This window comes from Homo sapiens, chromosome 11 (genome assembly GCF_000001405.40).
Source record: "Homo sapiens chromosome 11, GRCh38.p14 Primary Assembly".
In the NCBI taxonomy this organism is placed as follows: Eukaryota; Metazoa; Chordata; class Mammalia; order Primates; family Hominidae; genus Homo; species Homo sapiens.
In genome coordinates this window covers 30820210-30835803 of record NC_000011.10, presented here as the reverse complement: position 1 = coordinate 30835803, position 15594 = coordinate 30820210, and the positions used below count along the sequence as shown (strand labels likewise).

The following is a 15594-nucleotide window of genomic DNA, read 5'->3' as shown; positions in this document are numbered from 1 at the left end:
AGTTCTCTAAACTTTGTTCTTCAATATTGAGTTGACTATTCTGGCCCTTTGACCATAAACTTTGGTCTTCAATATTGAGTTGACTATTCTGGCCCTTTGACCATAAACTTTGGACAATCAGTATGTTGATATCCACAAAATAACTTGCTGAGTTATATAAATAAGATGTACAGATAAACTTGGGAAGAACTGAATCTTTACACTATTGAGTCTTCCTATCCATGGAGACAAACTATCTTTCCATTCATTTCATTCTTCTTTTATTTCTTTCATCAGAGTTTTGTAGTTTTCCTCATATAGATCTTGTCCATATTTTGTTAGATGTTACTTAAATATTTCATTTTGGGGGGTGCTGATATAAATGGTCATGTGATTTAATTTCAAATTTTCTTGTTCATTTCTGGCATATAGGAAAGCAGTTGACTTTTATATATTAACTTTGTATGCTGCATTTATAGTTCTAGAAAATCATATAATCACTTAGTTTTATAATGTTTAAAAATCAGTTCAGATTTTCTACAAAGGCTGTCATGTCATCTGTGAACAAAGGAAGTTTTATTTCTTCTTTCCAAATCTGTATACTTTTTATTTCATTTTCTTGTCTTATTGCATTAGCTGGGTCTTCTAGTACAATGGTGAAAAGCAGTGATGAGAAGGGACATCCTTGCTTTGTTCCTGATCGTAGCAGATAAGTTCTGAGGTTTTCACCATTAAGTATGATTTTAGCTGTAAATTTTTGTAGTTGGTCTTTATCAAATGTAGGCAGTTCCCATCTATTTCTAATTTGCTGATTAAGTTTTTATTATGAGTGGATGTTGGGTTTTGTCAAATAATTTTCTGTGTCCATTGATAAGACCATGTGATTTTTCTTCTTTAGACTGTTGATGTTATGTATTACAATAATGGAATTTTGAACGTTGAACCAGCCTTGCATACTTGGGATAAATTCTACTTGGTTGTGGTGGATAAATCTTTGTATACATTATTGTAGTTGATTTGCTAATATTTTGTGAGGAATTTTACATCTATGTTTATGAGTGATATTGGTCTATGGTTTTCTTTCCTTGTAGTATCTTTGTCTGGTTTTGGTATTGGGGTTACGTTTGCCTCATAGAGTATTAGGGAGTATGCCCTCTGTTTTTATCTTCTGAAATAGGTTGTAGAGAATTGGTACAATTTCTTCCTTAAATATTTGGTAGAATGTACCAGTGAACCCATCTAGGACTGGTGCTTTCTGTCTTGGAAAGTTGTTAATGTTTGATTTAATTTCTTTAACAAATGTAGACCTATTCAGATTACTTATATATTTTTGTGTTTGTTTTGGTAGATTGTGTTTTTTAAGCAATTGGTTCATTTCATCTAGGCTATCAAGTTTATGAGCACAACACCATTTTAATAATAAAAATAATTTGAAACAACCCATATATCCATAATCATTAAAATAGATAGATGAATTGTGGTTTAGTCATCTGATGAGATATTATACAGCAATAAAAATATATGACCCATACTTGTGTTTCCCAATCTTTTTTTTTTATATCATATCCCTATGAAGTCTTTTTAGGTATTTTTTCTGAACAACCCTGGGTGAAATTTTAATGCCACAGACAAACTGCATATTTATAGATCATATATACAACTTTGCTGTATACATTAAGACTAAGATATAGATCATATATATAACTTTGCTGTACACATTATGAATCAAATTTTAACCCTTGAGGGCGGTATCACCCCCATTAAGAAAGCATGATTCAATCATCCATATAGATGAATCCTAATATCACATTATTAGGTTCCAAATAGGCAACTCAAAACACTACATTGTTTAGGAACACGAATATATGTGGTAAAATTAGAAAGAAAAACGAGGTTAGAATAAACATAAAATTTCTTCAGCAGTTTCCACTTCAGAGCAAGTAGGCAGAGGGATGGGTGAGTCATGCAGGAATTTTAAGTTATTGGCAATAACTTAAGCTGTTTGGTTGGTACATAGGTGTTTTAAAATTATTGTACTTAAAATGTACATATATTCCATATGCATTCTTTTGCATATATTCTACATGTTACCAAATAAATGCAACACAAAGTGATAAGTGCAACTGCACAGGTGCATTTAAGTAGATGACAAAAAGGAGAACATGATCCACTGCCTGCAAGATTCAGACAGATCTTCAGAGAAGAGGATATGAGTGGATATGTTTCTAAAGGATTCATGGGAGTTTACAGGTAGAGGTAGAAAAAAATATTTTTATGCGGAGGGTTTAGACACATAAAATAGTTTGGGCTTTGGAGGGATTGTAAAGAATTCAATATGCTTTGGAGCATTGAAAGTAGGGGAAAATGTGAGCTATTGATGCTTGATAAATGTAGAAAGATTAAAACGACAAACAGAGGGACATCATTTCTGTAAGTTTCTTCATGATAGGTTTTATCTCATGCCTAAAGCAGAATAAAGTGGTCTGAACTTTTCTTGTAAATAAAACTACCAGCCCCACCTCAGAGCTCAGAGTTCTAATCCTTGACTAAACAAGCTGTGAGTTCTATACTGCCATCTGTATCCACTCAGCCTTCTTCCCATTTGGCCTTGCAAATTGTTCTTTTTCAAAGTTCAAGATTTTTAATCCTTCTGGGCAAGGCTTCACTAATTAAAGCCTAAACAATCTTAAAAGCAAATGAGCTTTTGGGGGCCCTGGGCACCATTCCATGGCTCTGGATCCATTGTTTTTATTTCTTAATACTCAAAAAGACTTCTTTGTTTAATTCTGAGCTTCCATAAGTGCCCTTTTCTCACTTTGAGTCTCTTTCCTCCCTTTTGGCTCTACTTGAGCTCACCACAATTGGTCTAACAAAATCCCACCTAAAAGAAGCTCATCTTTTTGAGGTCACATGATCTGATTCTCTTTGTAAATGCTTACTACATATGCCAATCCCTCAGCTCAGTCACCGCTTGTAGTTGCTTCACATGTGCAATTTCCAAGACAGAAAATACAGATGCAAAGTGTGTAAGTGCAAACAGTAACACATTCCTGATAAGAGAAAATGGAATTTGGGAAGTAACCCTTGATGTACTGGATGGGGGCATCTCAAAGAAGTCATAATTCATGTGCCATTTTTCCCTTCAGCTTCCATTCTGGGAAACAAAAACAGCATTAGAGAAAGAAGGAGGCTGTTTCGACAGAGCCAAACTTGATAATGAATCATCAGTAAAATATAAGTTTTTGACACTTCTTTAGTAGATTACTAGCAAAAAGAGAGAGAGAGAAAGAGAAAGATGAGAGAGAGAGAGAGAGAGAGAGAGAGAGATTAGAGACAAAACAGATCCGGGGACTGCCAGATCTCTCTAAGGGCAACATGCATTGCATTTTGATCATGCCGGTCTCATTTTCCTCTGTGACAAACCTTAACTTTTTAACCTTTGGTGGATACTATTTTCATTAAAAGATTTTTCCGTTGTTGTGAGTTAAAAGTAATTTCAATGCTTGTGCTTAACAAATCAATAAGAAAAAAAAAGTAGCCACCATGTGGATCTATATCTCTTTAAAAACATAAGTAGAACATGTGTTACACAAATTAACAGAGTTCAAAACACGCAACAGTTTTGTCTCTTTTCTGCCCATAATCAGACAAAATCAAAGCCTCCCTGATGAATTTGCTCAACCATTTTCTCTTTTTAGATCTAGGTATTAGTTGTATCTTTGAAAGTGATTGATAGTCCTCTACATAACAAAATGATCTCTTCCCCTCCTCACTCAGAACATTCTCAGTTAAGTTTACTCCGATGCCCAGGAGGCTTCTGAGGTGTTATCACCTTCTCCCCACACTTGGGGAAGCAGCTAACACAAGTGGGACATACTACCTGGGTATACTAATCACTCATCTGCACAGGTCAAGGATAAGGTTCATGTCTGAATTGACTTAGAATGACAGGCCTTAGTTACTTGGATATCCTATTTGAATCTTGAAAATAAACAGTGTCACCCAAAGATCAGTTGAAGGTGGATCATCTTGTTTTAATGTTTAAGTAAAAATGGTTCAAGTCCCCACCGAGCAGGATAGTGGAAAAACCAGCAACAAGTAACCTCCTCCCTGAGCCTCCCAATATTCCTAGGGATTCTCCGGGGGTTATAGTCTTTTTGGTCACTTTTGTTCTTACTATCTCTTTCCTTTGAATCCTTGCTTTCACAAGGATCTCCTCTCCAGGAGCTGTGTCTTTCTTTCAGGATAACATAGAAGTTAAGAGCACAGAATCTGGAGTCAGTTGTAGCTGAGTAACTCTGCCTCAGTTTCCTCATCTGTAAAAACGGGCTAATAGAACATCTCCTCAGAGGTTGTTTTTGATATTAAATGAGCATAAAGCACTTGGAAGAGGACTGCCACAGCGAAAAAGCTTTATAAGTATTAACTATCTCCCTTTCTCACCTCTACCCAAAGGTACACAGCCCTTTTATCTCTGCTTTCCTGAAGCAGCCTTTGTAAGTGGAAGGATTGTACTGAAGGCTCAGCAGCAATAGAGGTGAGTGCATGTAGCCTGATTTGTCAATAATTGCAATGTCTCCTCCAGTCCTGCAAAGCACAAGATCACTCACTGACCATCTCCTTCTCCAGTCCTTCCAGGCTCTCACCATGGTGCTTGAGCTATTCCCCTTCAACGTCCTCCTTACCCCTTCCTCCTCCCTCCTCCTTCTCAGCTCCCTCATTCCCTCTGCTCAGGATCCCCAGACCCTCCAAATCCTCCCACTGTTTTGAAGAACAATTCAACATCACAATTTGCCCAGATGCATCATTTGGGCCAATCCTTTAGAAGCTTCAGCATTAGACTCTAAGAGGACTCTCCAGGCATTTTTCAAAATGCAGAGCCATGTCAAGAAAAAAGTTTCCACTCCCCCGGGCAGAAACAGCTGCCAACAGCTGTGATTTTAAAAAACACCTTTTCTCTGAGTCATACTCAATAATGACAATAACAACTAATGCTTAGAATGTGCTTTGCAACCACCACAACTGCCTCACATCTATTATTATTGCAGTCCTTTGAAGGAGTACTTAAAACTTTCTGCATCTCTGTTTTCTCATCTGAAAAATGGAGAACATATAATAGCAACTACCTCATAGGGTCATTGTTAGAATGCAAAAAATCAAGACAGTGCCTGGCATTTGGCAAATGCTTAATTACTTTGTTATTTTCTCGATTTGACAGCTAATGAAATGGAAGCTGGGCAGTGCTGAGTCCCTGGGTCACAGTTACCGAGAGGAAAAGTGGGCTGGCTGAGATTTCATCCCAGGCTGCCTGCTACGAAGCTCCTCATCTGCCTCCCTCGAATCAAGTGCTACATCCAATAATAGGGACTAAACCCACATCTGTAGCTTCTGAGTCGAGAGATCTGAATAGAGAAATCAGCAGTTAAAATAAAATTAAAATAGCTCTGAACATTTAAGAATGAGGGAATTTCACATGAAACACTAGATATAAGACTTCTCATGTAAAAACTGAAGTATTTAGTCTACATGAGTTGATGGAAACCACCAGTTAGAGCTGAGCGGCTACTGTTTTTTCAGAATGTGGCCTCCTGGTACGCCAGAGTCCAGCTTGCTTTGCTTTGTTATTTTACCAACCTGGACCCTGCTAACATTTGCACTTGTACCCCTTGCCATTACTATGGCTAACCTAAGTATATAGCCTACATTTATGTGAGTTAAGTTTAGTGATTAACAAATCATCTCTTCCTACGTATGATTTAGTGGAAACTTCAGGAGACCCCAGTGAGCTGACTTTGTGGTGCCACAGCAACAAAAGGCACACAATTCTTTTCACACAGAAGCTTTCACAGCTGCTTCAGAATGGCCTCTCTCCTTGCCCTGGCCACTGTCCAGCGAACTGAATGGAAAGACCCTTCCAAAACTGACCAGGTCCCTTACTCTGAAAACTCTGCTATGGAGGTTCTGAGACTTCTCTGAGCATGTCCACCGCACAGGTCTGGACACAGCTAAAGAGTCTGTGGTCGTATTCATGACGGATCTGCTTAAGACATTTTCCAGAGTGCATTTCCTTGAAATGCACTCATTGCTGCAGGATGCTAACCAGCCTCCCTACCACCAATTCCCATGGCTTCAATTCATCCTGGATCCAAATGACAGGATAATCTGCCTCAAACATCTATCTTATTACAACCCTCATGTGCTCCAAACCCTACAGAAACTCCCTATTGCTGCCTGCATCCAATCCACCTTTTTTAGTCTAGCATTCAAGGCCCTCATCAATTATTCTGTCCCTGGTGGAACATCTCCAGCCTTATCTTGAACCTCTCTATGACATGGCCCCTCTGCTCTAGATTAAAAAGTTGGTGGACTGTCTGCATTTCCTGGCTTCCATTCTTGGTTCATCTTCCAGAAGCCATCACTGGATTTCCTCCTCATCTAATCACATCTTTTTTTTTCTCTATCCTCTATTATGTATATATTTTATATCATGTACCTGAAATTAGCTCAATTTTATACTTTTTCCAAGCACAAAGAAATTAATACATCCCTCCCCTGTCTTGTGCTTATAACAGGCATTACTAGTCAATCATGGTGCATTCCCCCGCTGAGCTGTTCACAGTTTCTAAATCTTTCTCAGTATTAAGCTCCAGTTAGTACAAGATTCTAACTTGTCAGTTAGAGTCGGATATGGCACATGACCTGTTTACCATCCCTGCTCTACCTTGAAGCGTCATCACAGTTCTAAATGGTGGAAGTGGGAAGGCTCAGCAAGAGGACAAGGGCAAGGACAAGCGCTTCTTCATTTATTTTTCCTCATTTTCTCTCTGAAGTTCAAGTCTCTCTATGTGAAATGTGTAGGTCATGGTCAATGGAATCATATAGTCCTTAAGATTGGTAACTGCTTCCCATCAATTCATCTCCAATGCTGCCTGGACTCTTCTCAAAGTGTCCAAATGGCTATAGCAGATCCAGTCCCTTCTATGTTAAATTAAATGGGAAGGAGCAATATTCTTTTCGCAGAAGCCAGAGAAAATGTCTTTGCGTCTCACTGGATCCAAGTGAGTTATGTGATCCTCCCTGATCCAATTCCTTTGCATGTGTGTGTGTATGTGGTGGAGGGGGGCACGAAGTGTTATAATTGATCAGCACCGAGACTCATGCTCCACTCTTAAACCTGGAGTGATCATGCGAAGAAAAGTTGAGGGTGCCAGAAGACTTGAAGGCTGCTGGGTATTAATTATCTTAAAAATTACATATTCATGTCTACCAGGTACGAGGCATTGGTCTAGGTTCTGGGGATACAGCAGTGAACAACATGAGGTTTCAACCCCCTGGAATTTATTCTGTAGTTGGGGGATACAGAAAATAAACAAATACATGTGTCTATAATAAGTCTGATGGAGATAATTGTCACATAAAAATATAAAACAGGATGAGGAACATAGTGAGGGCTATGATGCAGAGGAAGGTGTGACCATTACTATTTTATGTAGTGGTTGGAGATGCTGCCTCTGTTAAAGCAAATCTTGGCAGTGAGCTAAAGCAGTTGAGGAAGCAAAGCAGACAGAGATACCTGGGGGAAGGGGAACAGCACATAGAGGGAACAGCAGGAGCAAAGTCCTGAGGTGGGAGCATGGTTGCTGAACTTGAGGATCATCAGGAAGGCCAGTGTGGCTGGAGCAGAGTGAGTGAGGAGAAGACAGCAGGTGATGAGGTCAGGGGTTAACTGGTGGGAAGTGGGACAGGGAACTGATATTGGAGGATCTTTAAGGCCCTTGTGGTGACTTTGGCTTTTATTGTTAATGAGACAGAAAACTACTGGAAGGTTTTGAGCAGATGGTGATACAACCTAACTGTATCTTAAAAGAATAACTTTCATTCTCTTTGCAACCAGGGTCAGGGTAGAGGGGTGGGGTGGGAGTAGGATGACTAGCTAGGAGCCTACTACATTTTTTTTAGGCGGAAAATTGTGGTGATTTGTAGCAGGGTGATAGTGATGGAAATGGTGAGAAGTGGTTGGACTTGAGACATGTTCTGCAGGTAGAACAGATGAGATGCCCTGATACTGCATGTGGGGTGTGGAAAGAGAGGAGGCAAGGATGACTCCAGGGTTTTGGGCCTGAACAAAGGAAAGGACAGTGCTGCCACAGAGAAGACTGAGGGAAAGCAAGATTTAGGATGGAATGGTTTTGCATATTTTAGATGCTGAGAAGGGATAACAAATCAATAATTAATATATAAGCCTGAAGTTCAAGAGAGAGGGGCATGAGTTGGAGATTTAAGCCTGGGAGTTGTCAGTATCAAGATGGTATTTAGCCATGAGAAGAAATGAAGAAACCAAAGGGGTTTGTACAGATAGAAGAGAAAAGCCATCCCAGGTGTGAGCCCTGCAGTCCTCTCCAGCAGGATCTGGGGCAAAAATGTCCCTTTACAGTGGCCCTGAGTGCTAACAGCTCCCCTTCCAGGGATTGCACAGTGAAAATAATTTTTCCCTTTGGTTTGACTTTTTGCTGAACTCCAACTTTTGTCTTTGAATACGACTTTTCTATTTCATTTTAAACTTTGCAAATGTTTTCCATGCATAGCCCCCCAAATATTGACACATCACGAAGGTCAGCCTAAATGGAACTGCCAAAGCAAATGCTGGGATAGCCAAGAGCAGAACTCTGGTTTATCTTGGAAGGCAGGATCACCATGCCTTGGCTTTCAAGGCCAGAATGGCCTGCACAAGGGCAGAGAAAGATATTGGCACAGGGCGGATGAGGTCATAGCCAAGTCCTGTCACTGCATGGGCACTTGGGTAGGGCATGAGAAGTTTAACCAGGTCAGGGGTCCTATACTGGGACCCCCAGACTCTGGGTCAGCATCCCAGTGACTGGTGCTCAGGCAAGCTGCAGGGCTTCGCTCTCCCCATTGGCCAGCTCGATTAATCTGGTGGCTAATCAGGCCCCTTTGAAGGGGGGGGGGGCGGATGAAAGAGTGGCACACCTGTTTTCACTTGACTCCAATCCTGAAATAATTCTGTAGCTCCTACAAGATTTGAAACAAATTAAATTTGAAAGGGCAGAGAGGGCAGCTTTGAATGGTTGGCTCTGTGGAAAAATGCTGGTTTTCGCTCCAGGAAATGGCTTAACTGAGAGACTGTATTCCTGGCCTCGGTGGCTGGGGTGGCTGTCAGTGCATGACCGTGACTCGGGCCTTGTTGGGTGGGTTCTTTTGCCTTGTTATCTCTGGCATCAGGCTTTTGCTTTCTGGACTTTGATAATGTCAGTGGAAGGTTATAATGGTAACAACATGAAAGGCCGTTGTCAAGAAGAGAAGGCATGCAACCCTATTTGGGGAATCTGTGTTTTAAGTAAAGATACACTCAGCAGTGACAGACGCGATTCTGTTAGCCCAACACATGGAAGATTACTGTTGGACAGGACCCTTTAGAATAATTAGGCTCATGCTTCCTTTCAACAAATGAAAAGACTAAAGCCTGATGCAACTTCTGTTACAGGCAAAGCTGGAATAGCTAAGGCAGGGGTTCCAGGCTGGAGCTCTTCTATGCTTATCTTCCGAGTGGTCTCCAGGATGAATAAAAAGAAGTGTTGTCAGAAGAGTCCCAGGCCTCCATCTGCCTTCATAAGAATCTGAATCTTACTCAGGATTTGGGGAGTGAGGAGGCAGGAGTGGAACAGGAGGCAATTCCTCCCATCTGGACCAAAGCCCCAGGAGTTGCAATGATGAGAAAGAGAATCCCCCCCAGACTCAGAGCAGCAGCAGCAGATCCTTTCCTTCTTCCACTGCTCGCCTTTTACCCACAAACCCTTGTGGAGCCTCCTCCAGGTGCCAGGCAGTGGGCTGCTGAGATGGAAACTGGCAAGTGGGCCTCTCTCAGACTTACAGGCCTGCCACTTTGATCTTTCTTATAGACGCAGCCAGATGTGATCAGTGTGGCAACCTGCCTCCTTGATCTGTTGCCAACTAGGGGTTTGACAGAGAAGTTGAGAGCTATGAGGTCACTGCCTTTTATGGTATCCGTCATTAATACCTCCTTGGTAACAGTCAGAATTTTCTTGTCTGAGACCTAGGGCAGCTGATTAAGCACTCCTGCTAGCCCAGGGTCTGGTCCTGACTGATTTTAAGGGCTCTCTTCATCCCCTCCACAGAAAGAGAAGCTAGAAGGCCCAATTGCAAGGCCACTTTGACCTTTGCTTCAGGATCCTTGCAGACTGAGACATTTCAATCAGTCCAAAACACAGAGACCTCTCTAATGAGGACTTGTCAAGACCTTCTGTTTGATAAGGGGCGGATTCTGTCACTGTGTCAATTTTCCTTCCCACTGATGTTCCTGTGGCCTTTGATAGCACAGATCACACACACATAGGTGTGTCTTTCATGCTTCTCAGCCTCACAGACCAGGGTCTGCCAAGCCATCATTAATATGCACCTCAGTGCAGCTGGTGGGGAAACTGATAGAAATAAAGGAGCCGAGGTTCCCTTTTATGTGAGCTCAGGAAACCCATCGTACACAAATGTTAAAACGGAGATTGTTCTTCAGAGCAAAAGAGACCTACAGAACAAATTGTAATCACTTGTGTCAGTGGCATTACAAAATTGGGACTATTTACTGTCTTCTTTCTTAAACATTAAGCCTTAAACATCACCCAGTCCTGTGCCTTTTCTTCTAATTAGGCACAGTAGTGGTGGGAGTTTTTCTGGTTGCAAACAATAGAAGCCAATTCTGGAAAACTTCAGTAAAAAGATTATTTATTGGAGGCTGGAAACTAGGTTTAGAAAGAGGACAGAAACCAGTGCTGTTCTGGGTGCAGGCAGAGCTAATGATTTAGCCAGCTATGCTAAGTACTTTCTCTGGAATACATGCCCTCCACCCATTTTCCCATTCTTTAATTTTCTTACAAGGAAAGGCAGGCTGTTTGGCTTAGTTTGGGTGATGTGGTTTTTCCTTGGGTGGCCAAGGCAGATAGGTGCAATGGGAGGGGTGACTTTTCAAAAGACACTAGTGTTGTCGTTCACTAGAGACTGGTTGCCAGACAGCTAAATAAGTCTACACCTAGGCTACACTCAGCATTGCTTAGTCAGTCTGTTTTCTTCTTAAATCTGTACCTTTATATCTAGTCTCATTGCCTTTGTCATGATGATCTCTACCTCAATAGAGCTGCTATAAGGAGTAAAATAAATAGGGTATGAAATTTCTTAGCATAAAGTCTAGCACTTAGCTGAAGGATATTATTAATTGCATTTGAATTTGAATAGACTTTCTAAGAGACCTCCGTAACTACTTTATCTTCAGTCTATCCTCCATATCACTGCTAGAGTGAACTTTCTAAAATGCTAATCTAATTTTGCCATGCCTCTGCTCAAAAAACCCCAATGGCTTCCATTGACTACAAAATAGTCTAAAATTTTTAGCTTGATATAATACTGCATATTTACTCTTTTATAAAGTAACACCCCGGTAAATGCTGAATAACTTGTGCCCTGGAGGAGGAGGGGCAGGGAATTTATGCATGTATATGTATACATTATTTAATTATAAAAAGTTTATTGATATAACAGATGTTTAGCACACTCTTTACAAATAATAAAAAAGTACAATACTCTTGTAAACTTCCTTTAGCCAATTGATTCTTATAGAATGCTTTTGTTAATTCTTGCCAAACTCCTGTGTCTGTTGCTAATCTATAGTTGCAACTGATGAACAAGTATAGTTCCAACGTGTCAGTTGATATTTTCTTTCAGCACATAATATAAAGGGGAAACACTGAAACTTCACTTATCATCAAAGATGTGAGTCATCTTTGCTAAATCAGACATTTGCAAATACTGGAGGAATATTTGTTCAATATTTTGTGCCATTTACAATGTAATGGTTATGGATACATTTGCATCATTAACTTTCTCCATCACTTTCTTGAGTCTAGATAATCAATAGAAAAATAAATTCATCCCTGATTGTCTTATGTTGTCCAGGCTGGTTTGGAACTCCTAAGCTCAAACAATCTTACCAGCCTCAGCCTCCCAAAGTGCTGGAATTACAGGCTCCTGGCCCATATAAATCTGAAAATGGCTATGTTTGATACTATCCTGCAAAATTTCTGAAACGTTAATAATTGGCTCTCACAAGTCAATGAAACCCACCTCCAGCACACCATTGCATTGACCCCTAAGGCTTAGCAAAAGCTTATTTATAAACATTTAGGGAATGAAGGAATAAACAGAAGGCTTCATCTGATCCAAAATGACTTTACTAGTTTTCTTTCCTACCCTCTCCCACTAGCACCCTCTACTCCAGTCAACAAAGTGAGAAGGGCGCTCTGGTGAACATCAGTTATTTTTGCCTGCCAACAGCATTCAACTTCCTTTATCTTGGCAATGAGATATGGATTTTCCTTTAGGAAAGCTACCCCTCCCTTGCTCTGAGTATGTGAAGTTCAGGTGGAGTTACCCCATCACCTCACTCCTGGGTGGACATGTGACAGAAGTCTGGCTGTAACTAGGACACAGCAGGCCAGGGAGCAAACTGGGATGATCAGAGCCAATGAGTGCCAGTCCAGGGACATTTTCAGGAACCACTGGGAAGGAGATGTACTTTCTCTCTGGGGAGTACTAAGCTGGTAAGTTTGAGCTGCTGGGGGCCTTGCCTACCACCACTTAGGGAAAACCTGTCTGCATCTGAAACCAATAAGAAAAAACAGAGCCAAGAGCTGGAGAAAGAGGTTATGGATGATCATTTGAGCACCTAAATTCAACCATTATTTTACTTCTCTGTGCCCCAGTTTTCCCATTCTGTGAAGTGGGGATCATGTGAGTACTTCCTTTATGAAGTTTGGGAATTACATGAAGTAAGACATATAAATCACTTAAGCAGTACCTGTATTGTTTACTTACATAAGCTGATAATCCCTTTAAAAAAAAAACAAAACAGTGATTGAGTATCTGTCACTTGTAGCTAATACAGGTACCCAAGGAGTAAATTCAGTTGCTGGTGAAATCAAACTTCAAGTCTCTGTCCAGGGTGAACCTAAGGACCAGTCAGTTTGCAAGAAAAGGCAATATGTAACCTGTTGTCACAAGCTCTGTTTCTCTTCTCTTATTCTCCCTTTATTAGAGTTCATGGTAGGATCAGTCAGGCTCCTGGTACAGAGCAGATATTGAAAAAAATATTTAGTCAACAAATGAATGAATAACTTAATGCCTTGTGTATTATTGATTGCTGTGAAACCAATTACCCCCCAAACTCAGTGGCTTAACAATAAACATTAATTAATTTTCACAGTTCTGTGGCCAGGAATTTGGCAGCTACTTGTCTGGGCAGTTCTTGGTGGAGTCTCACATGAGACTGAGTCAGAAGTAAGCCAGGGCTGCAGTCATCTGAAGCCTTGACTGGGGCTGGAGGATTTGCTTCCAAGATGGTGCACTCCCATGGCTGGCAAGTTGGTGCTGCCTGTTGATGACAGTCCTCAGTTCCTCTCCACATGGGTCTCTCCACAGTGTTCATCAGTGACTTGCAGCATGGTGACTGGATCCACCTAGTCTAGAAGTTGCAATGCCTCTGATAACATAACTCCTGAAAGTCCTAATCCAGTGTGGAGGATACTAAACTGTTCTTTGTCACACAGATCAACCCTGATTCACTGTGGGAGGGTACTACTTGAAGGGATGAAATAACAGAAGACAGGGATCATGTGGCACCGTATTGGAGGCTGGCTACTACAGCCTTGAATGGATCAAAATTCCTCTCATTAGTCTTGTCTTTGAACCACTGTGGGGGAAGGTGAGATCTTTTGAGTTGCTTGAGATTTGGCCTTTGTAAATTAAAGTTCCTGGTATTAATAACTCTTAGAAATCTTGATGCTATAACTTTAAAATATTAGCTGCTAGAAATTTGGATGTCACAAAACAATTTGGGAAAGATGCAGCCAAAACTTTCTCCTTGACCTCTACAAACACACACACTCTCACAATTCCTTTACTGCCTGTTGAATTTTCACAATGAAAGCATTCTTCCTGAGCGGAAATGAAATTAAGCTTTTCTGGGTAATCCCACACTTTTCCTAATATGTACTGACTTCAGACAAATACATGTTTCACAGAGTAAATACAGCCCAAGGGCCCAGTTTATTCTTGGAAGAGTTGGAAGAACTGACATCATTTTCTTCTTGTGATCTGTGGGTATTTTTCACCTGGTGAGAATTGGCACCAACGCCTTTGCTCCAGGCATGGCAACACTTGGGTACTGTGTTTCCAAAGATTCCAACCTGAGCCTCACTGAGTTGGAAGAGGCTCAGGTTGGAATCTTTTATCATTTCCCTGGCATTCTCCCTTTACTCGTAGGGCTACATATTTTCTCACCTCCTTTAATTCTGCACAAAGCCAGGATAATGTATGATTTAGGTTAGGGTACAAACATGCAGGAATAGAGTATTGCAGGCTCTGGAAAACAGCCCCACCTAAAACTGCTCCTCAAATCCTACTCGTCATCTGTTCTCTCCTATGGAGCCTGTCCTGAATTTCACACAAGAAAGCTCAAGGCCATCAACATTTGGAGCAAAACTGGAATTGGGCTGCAGGCCTTGAGCAGGCACTTTTATTAAATGTTATTATTTTATTTTTGCTTCTGAAGAGTTACCCTGAGATTTTCTTATAACTTTGTGTAATCCCTCACCCTTTTTCTGGCATAGTCGTCAACTTAATAAGCATTTATTAAGCCCCTACTATGTGTCATAAGATGTGAGCGGCACTGGAGGTACGAAGAGCCCATGGTTTCAGGGGAATGATGCCTAAGTCAGCACATGCTAAACCTGTGCTAAGTACCCACATCAGTGCAAATCATGTAGGAGCCTTCACAGGGGACATGAGAAATGAATGGAGGCCTTAAAGAAAAGAATATTTCACCAAACAAGAAAATGATTGATGGAGGGATCCCTGCCAACTCCAACATATCCAGAAACACAGGTTTCATGTGAACCTTAGGAGCATTTTGGGGCAAAAGTAAGAAACCCAACATGGCACAGAGAGTGTAGAGCCAAGAAAGGCTATGTCAGGCTGCAGAGGTGGGGTTTTCAGTGCCCAGTAATTTGGATTCATGCAAGAGGCCAGGGGTTTTGAGACTTTTTTTCAATTAGCAAAGCTCTTTTTTTTCCTAACTAAAATTTCCCATAGAGTCCCAATATTTAACATAGATACAAGACATAAGGTTACTTTTGTGGTCACACAGGGAAGGGTTTAGAGCAACCTTTTGGTTGAGTCTTCCCAGCCCCATCTTCCTACTCCACAGGGAAGCCACTAAGTTACACTATAGAGAAGACCAAACAGAACAGTTTTGAGAACACCTGCTATGGGCAAGAGGGAGCTTAGGTGGTTTTTCATAAAAAAGTGAAAGTGTCAGGCACGTGTGTATGTGTGTGTGTTTATGAGTGTGTGTGTATGTGTGTGCACGTGTGTGTGTGTGAATTGGCATTAGCATGGAAACAGATTTGGCAGTGAGACTAGTTAGGAGACTATTGTGCTAGTCCAGGCAAGCCTCCTGGGACCTTGGCAGTGGAAATCACAGTCTCTATTCAGAACCTTATCTAGCTCCCAGCTAAACCTGTAATCCCCTTCATA

General features: G+C 41.0%; 1 long non-coding RNA gene across 1 annotated transcript in view; it reads left to right on the top strand.

Moving 5' to 3' along the window:
• Positions 1 to 5433, top strand: part of LOC107984419 (uncharacterized) — a 28828-nt gene extending 23395 nt beyond the window's left edge. The window contains exons 4-5 of the long non-coding RNA XR_001748485.1: positions 4435 to 4516; positions 5198 to 5433. This is a non-coding gene — a long non-coding RNA (uncharacterized LOC107984419). The remainder of the gene's footprint in view (positions 1 to 4434; positions 4517 to 5197) is intronic.
• Positions 5434 to 15594: the final 10161 nt, after the last annotated feature.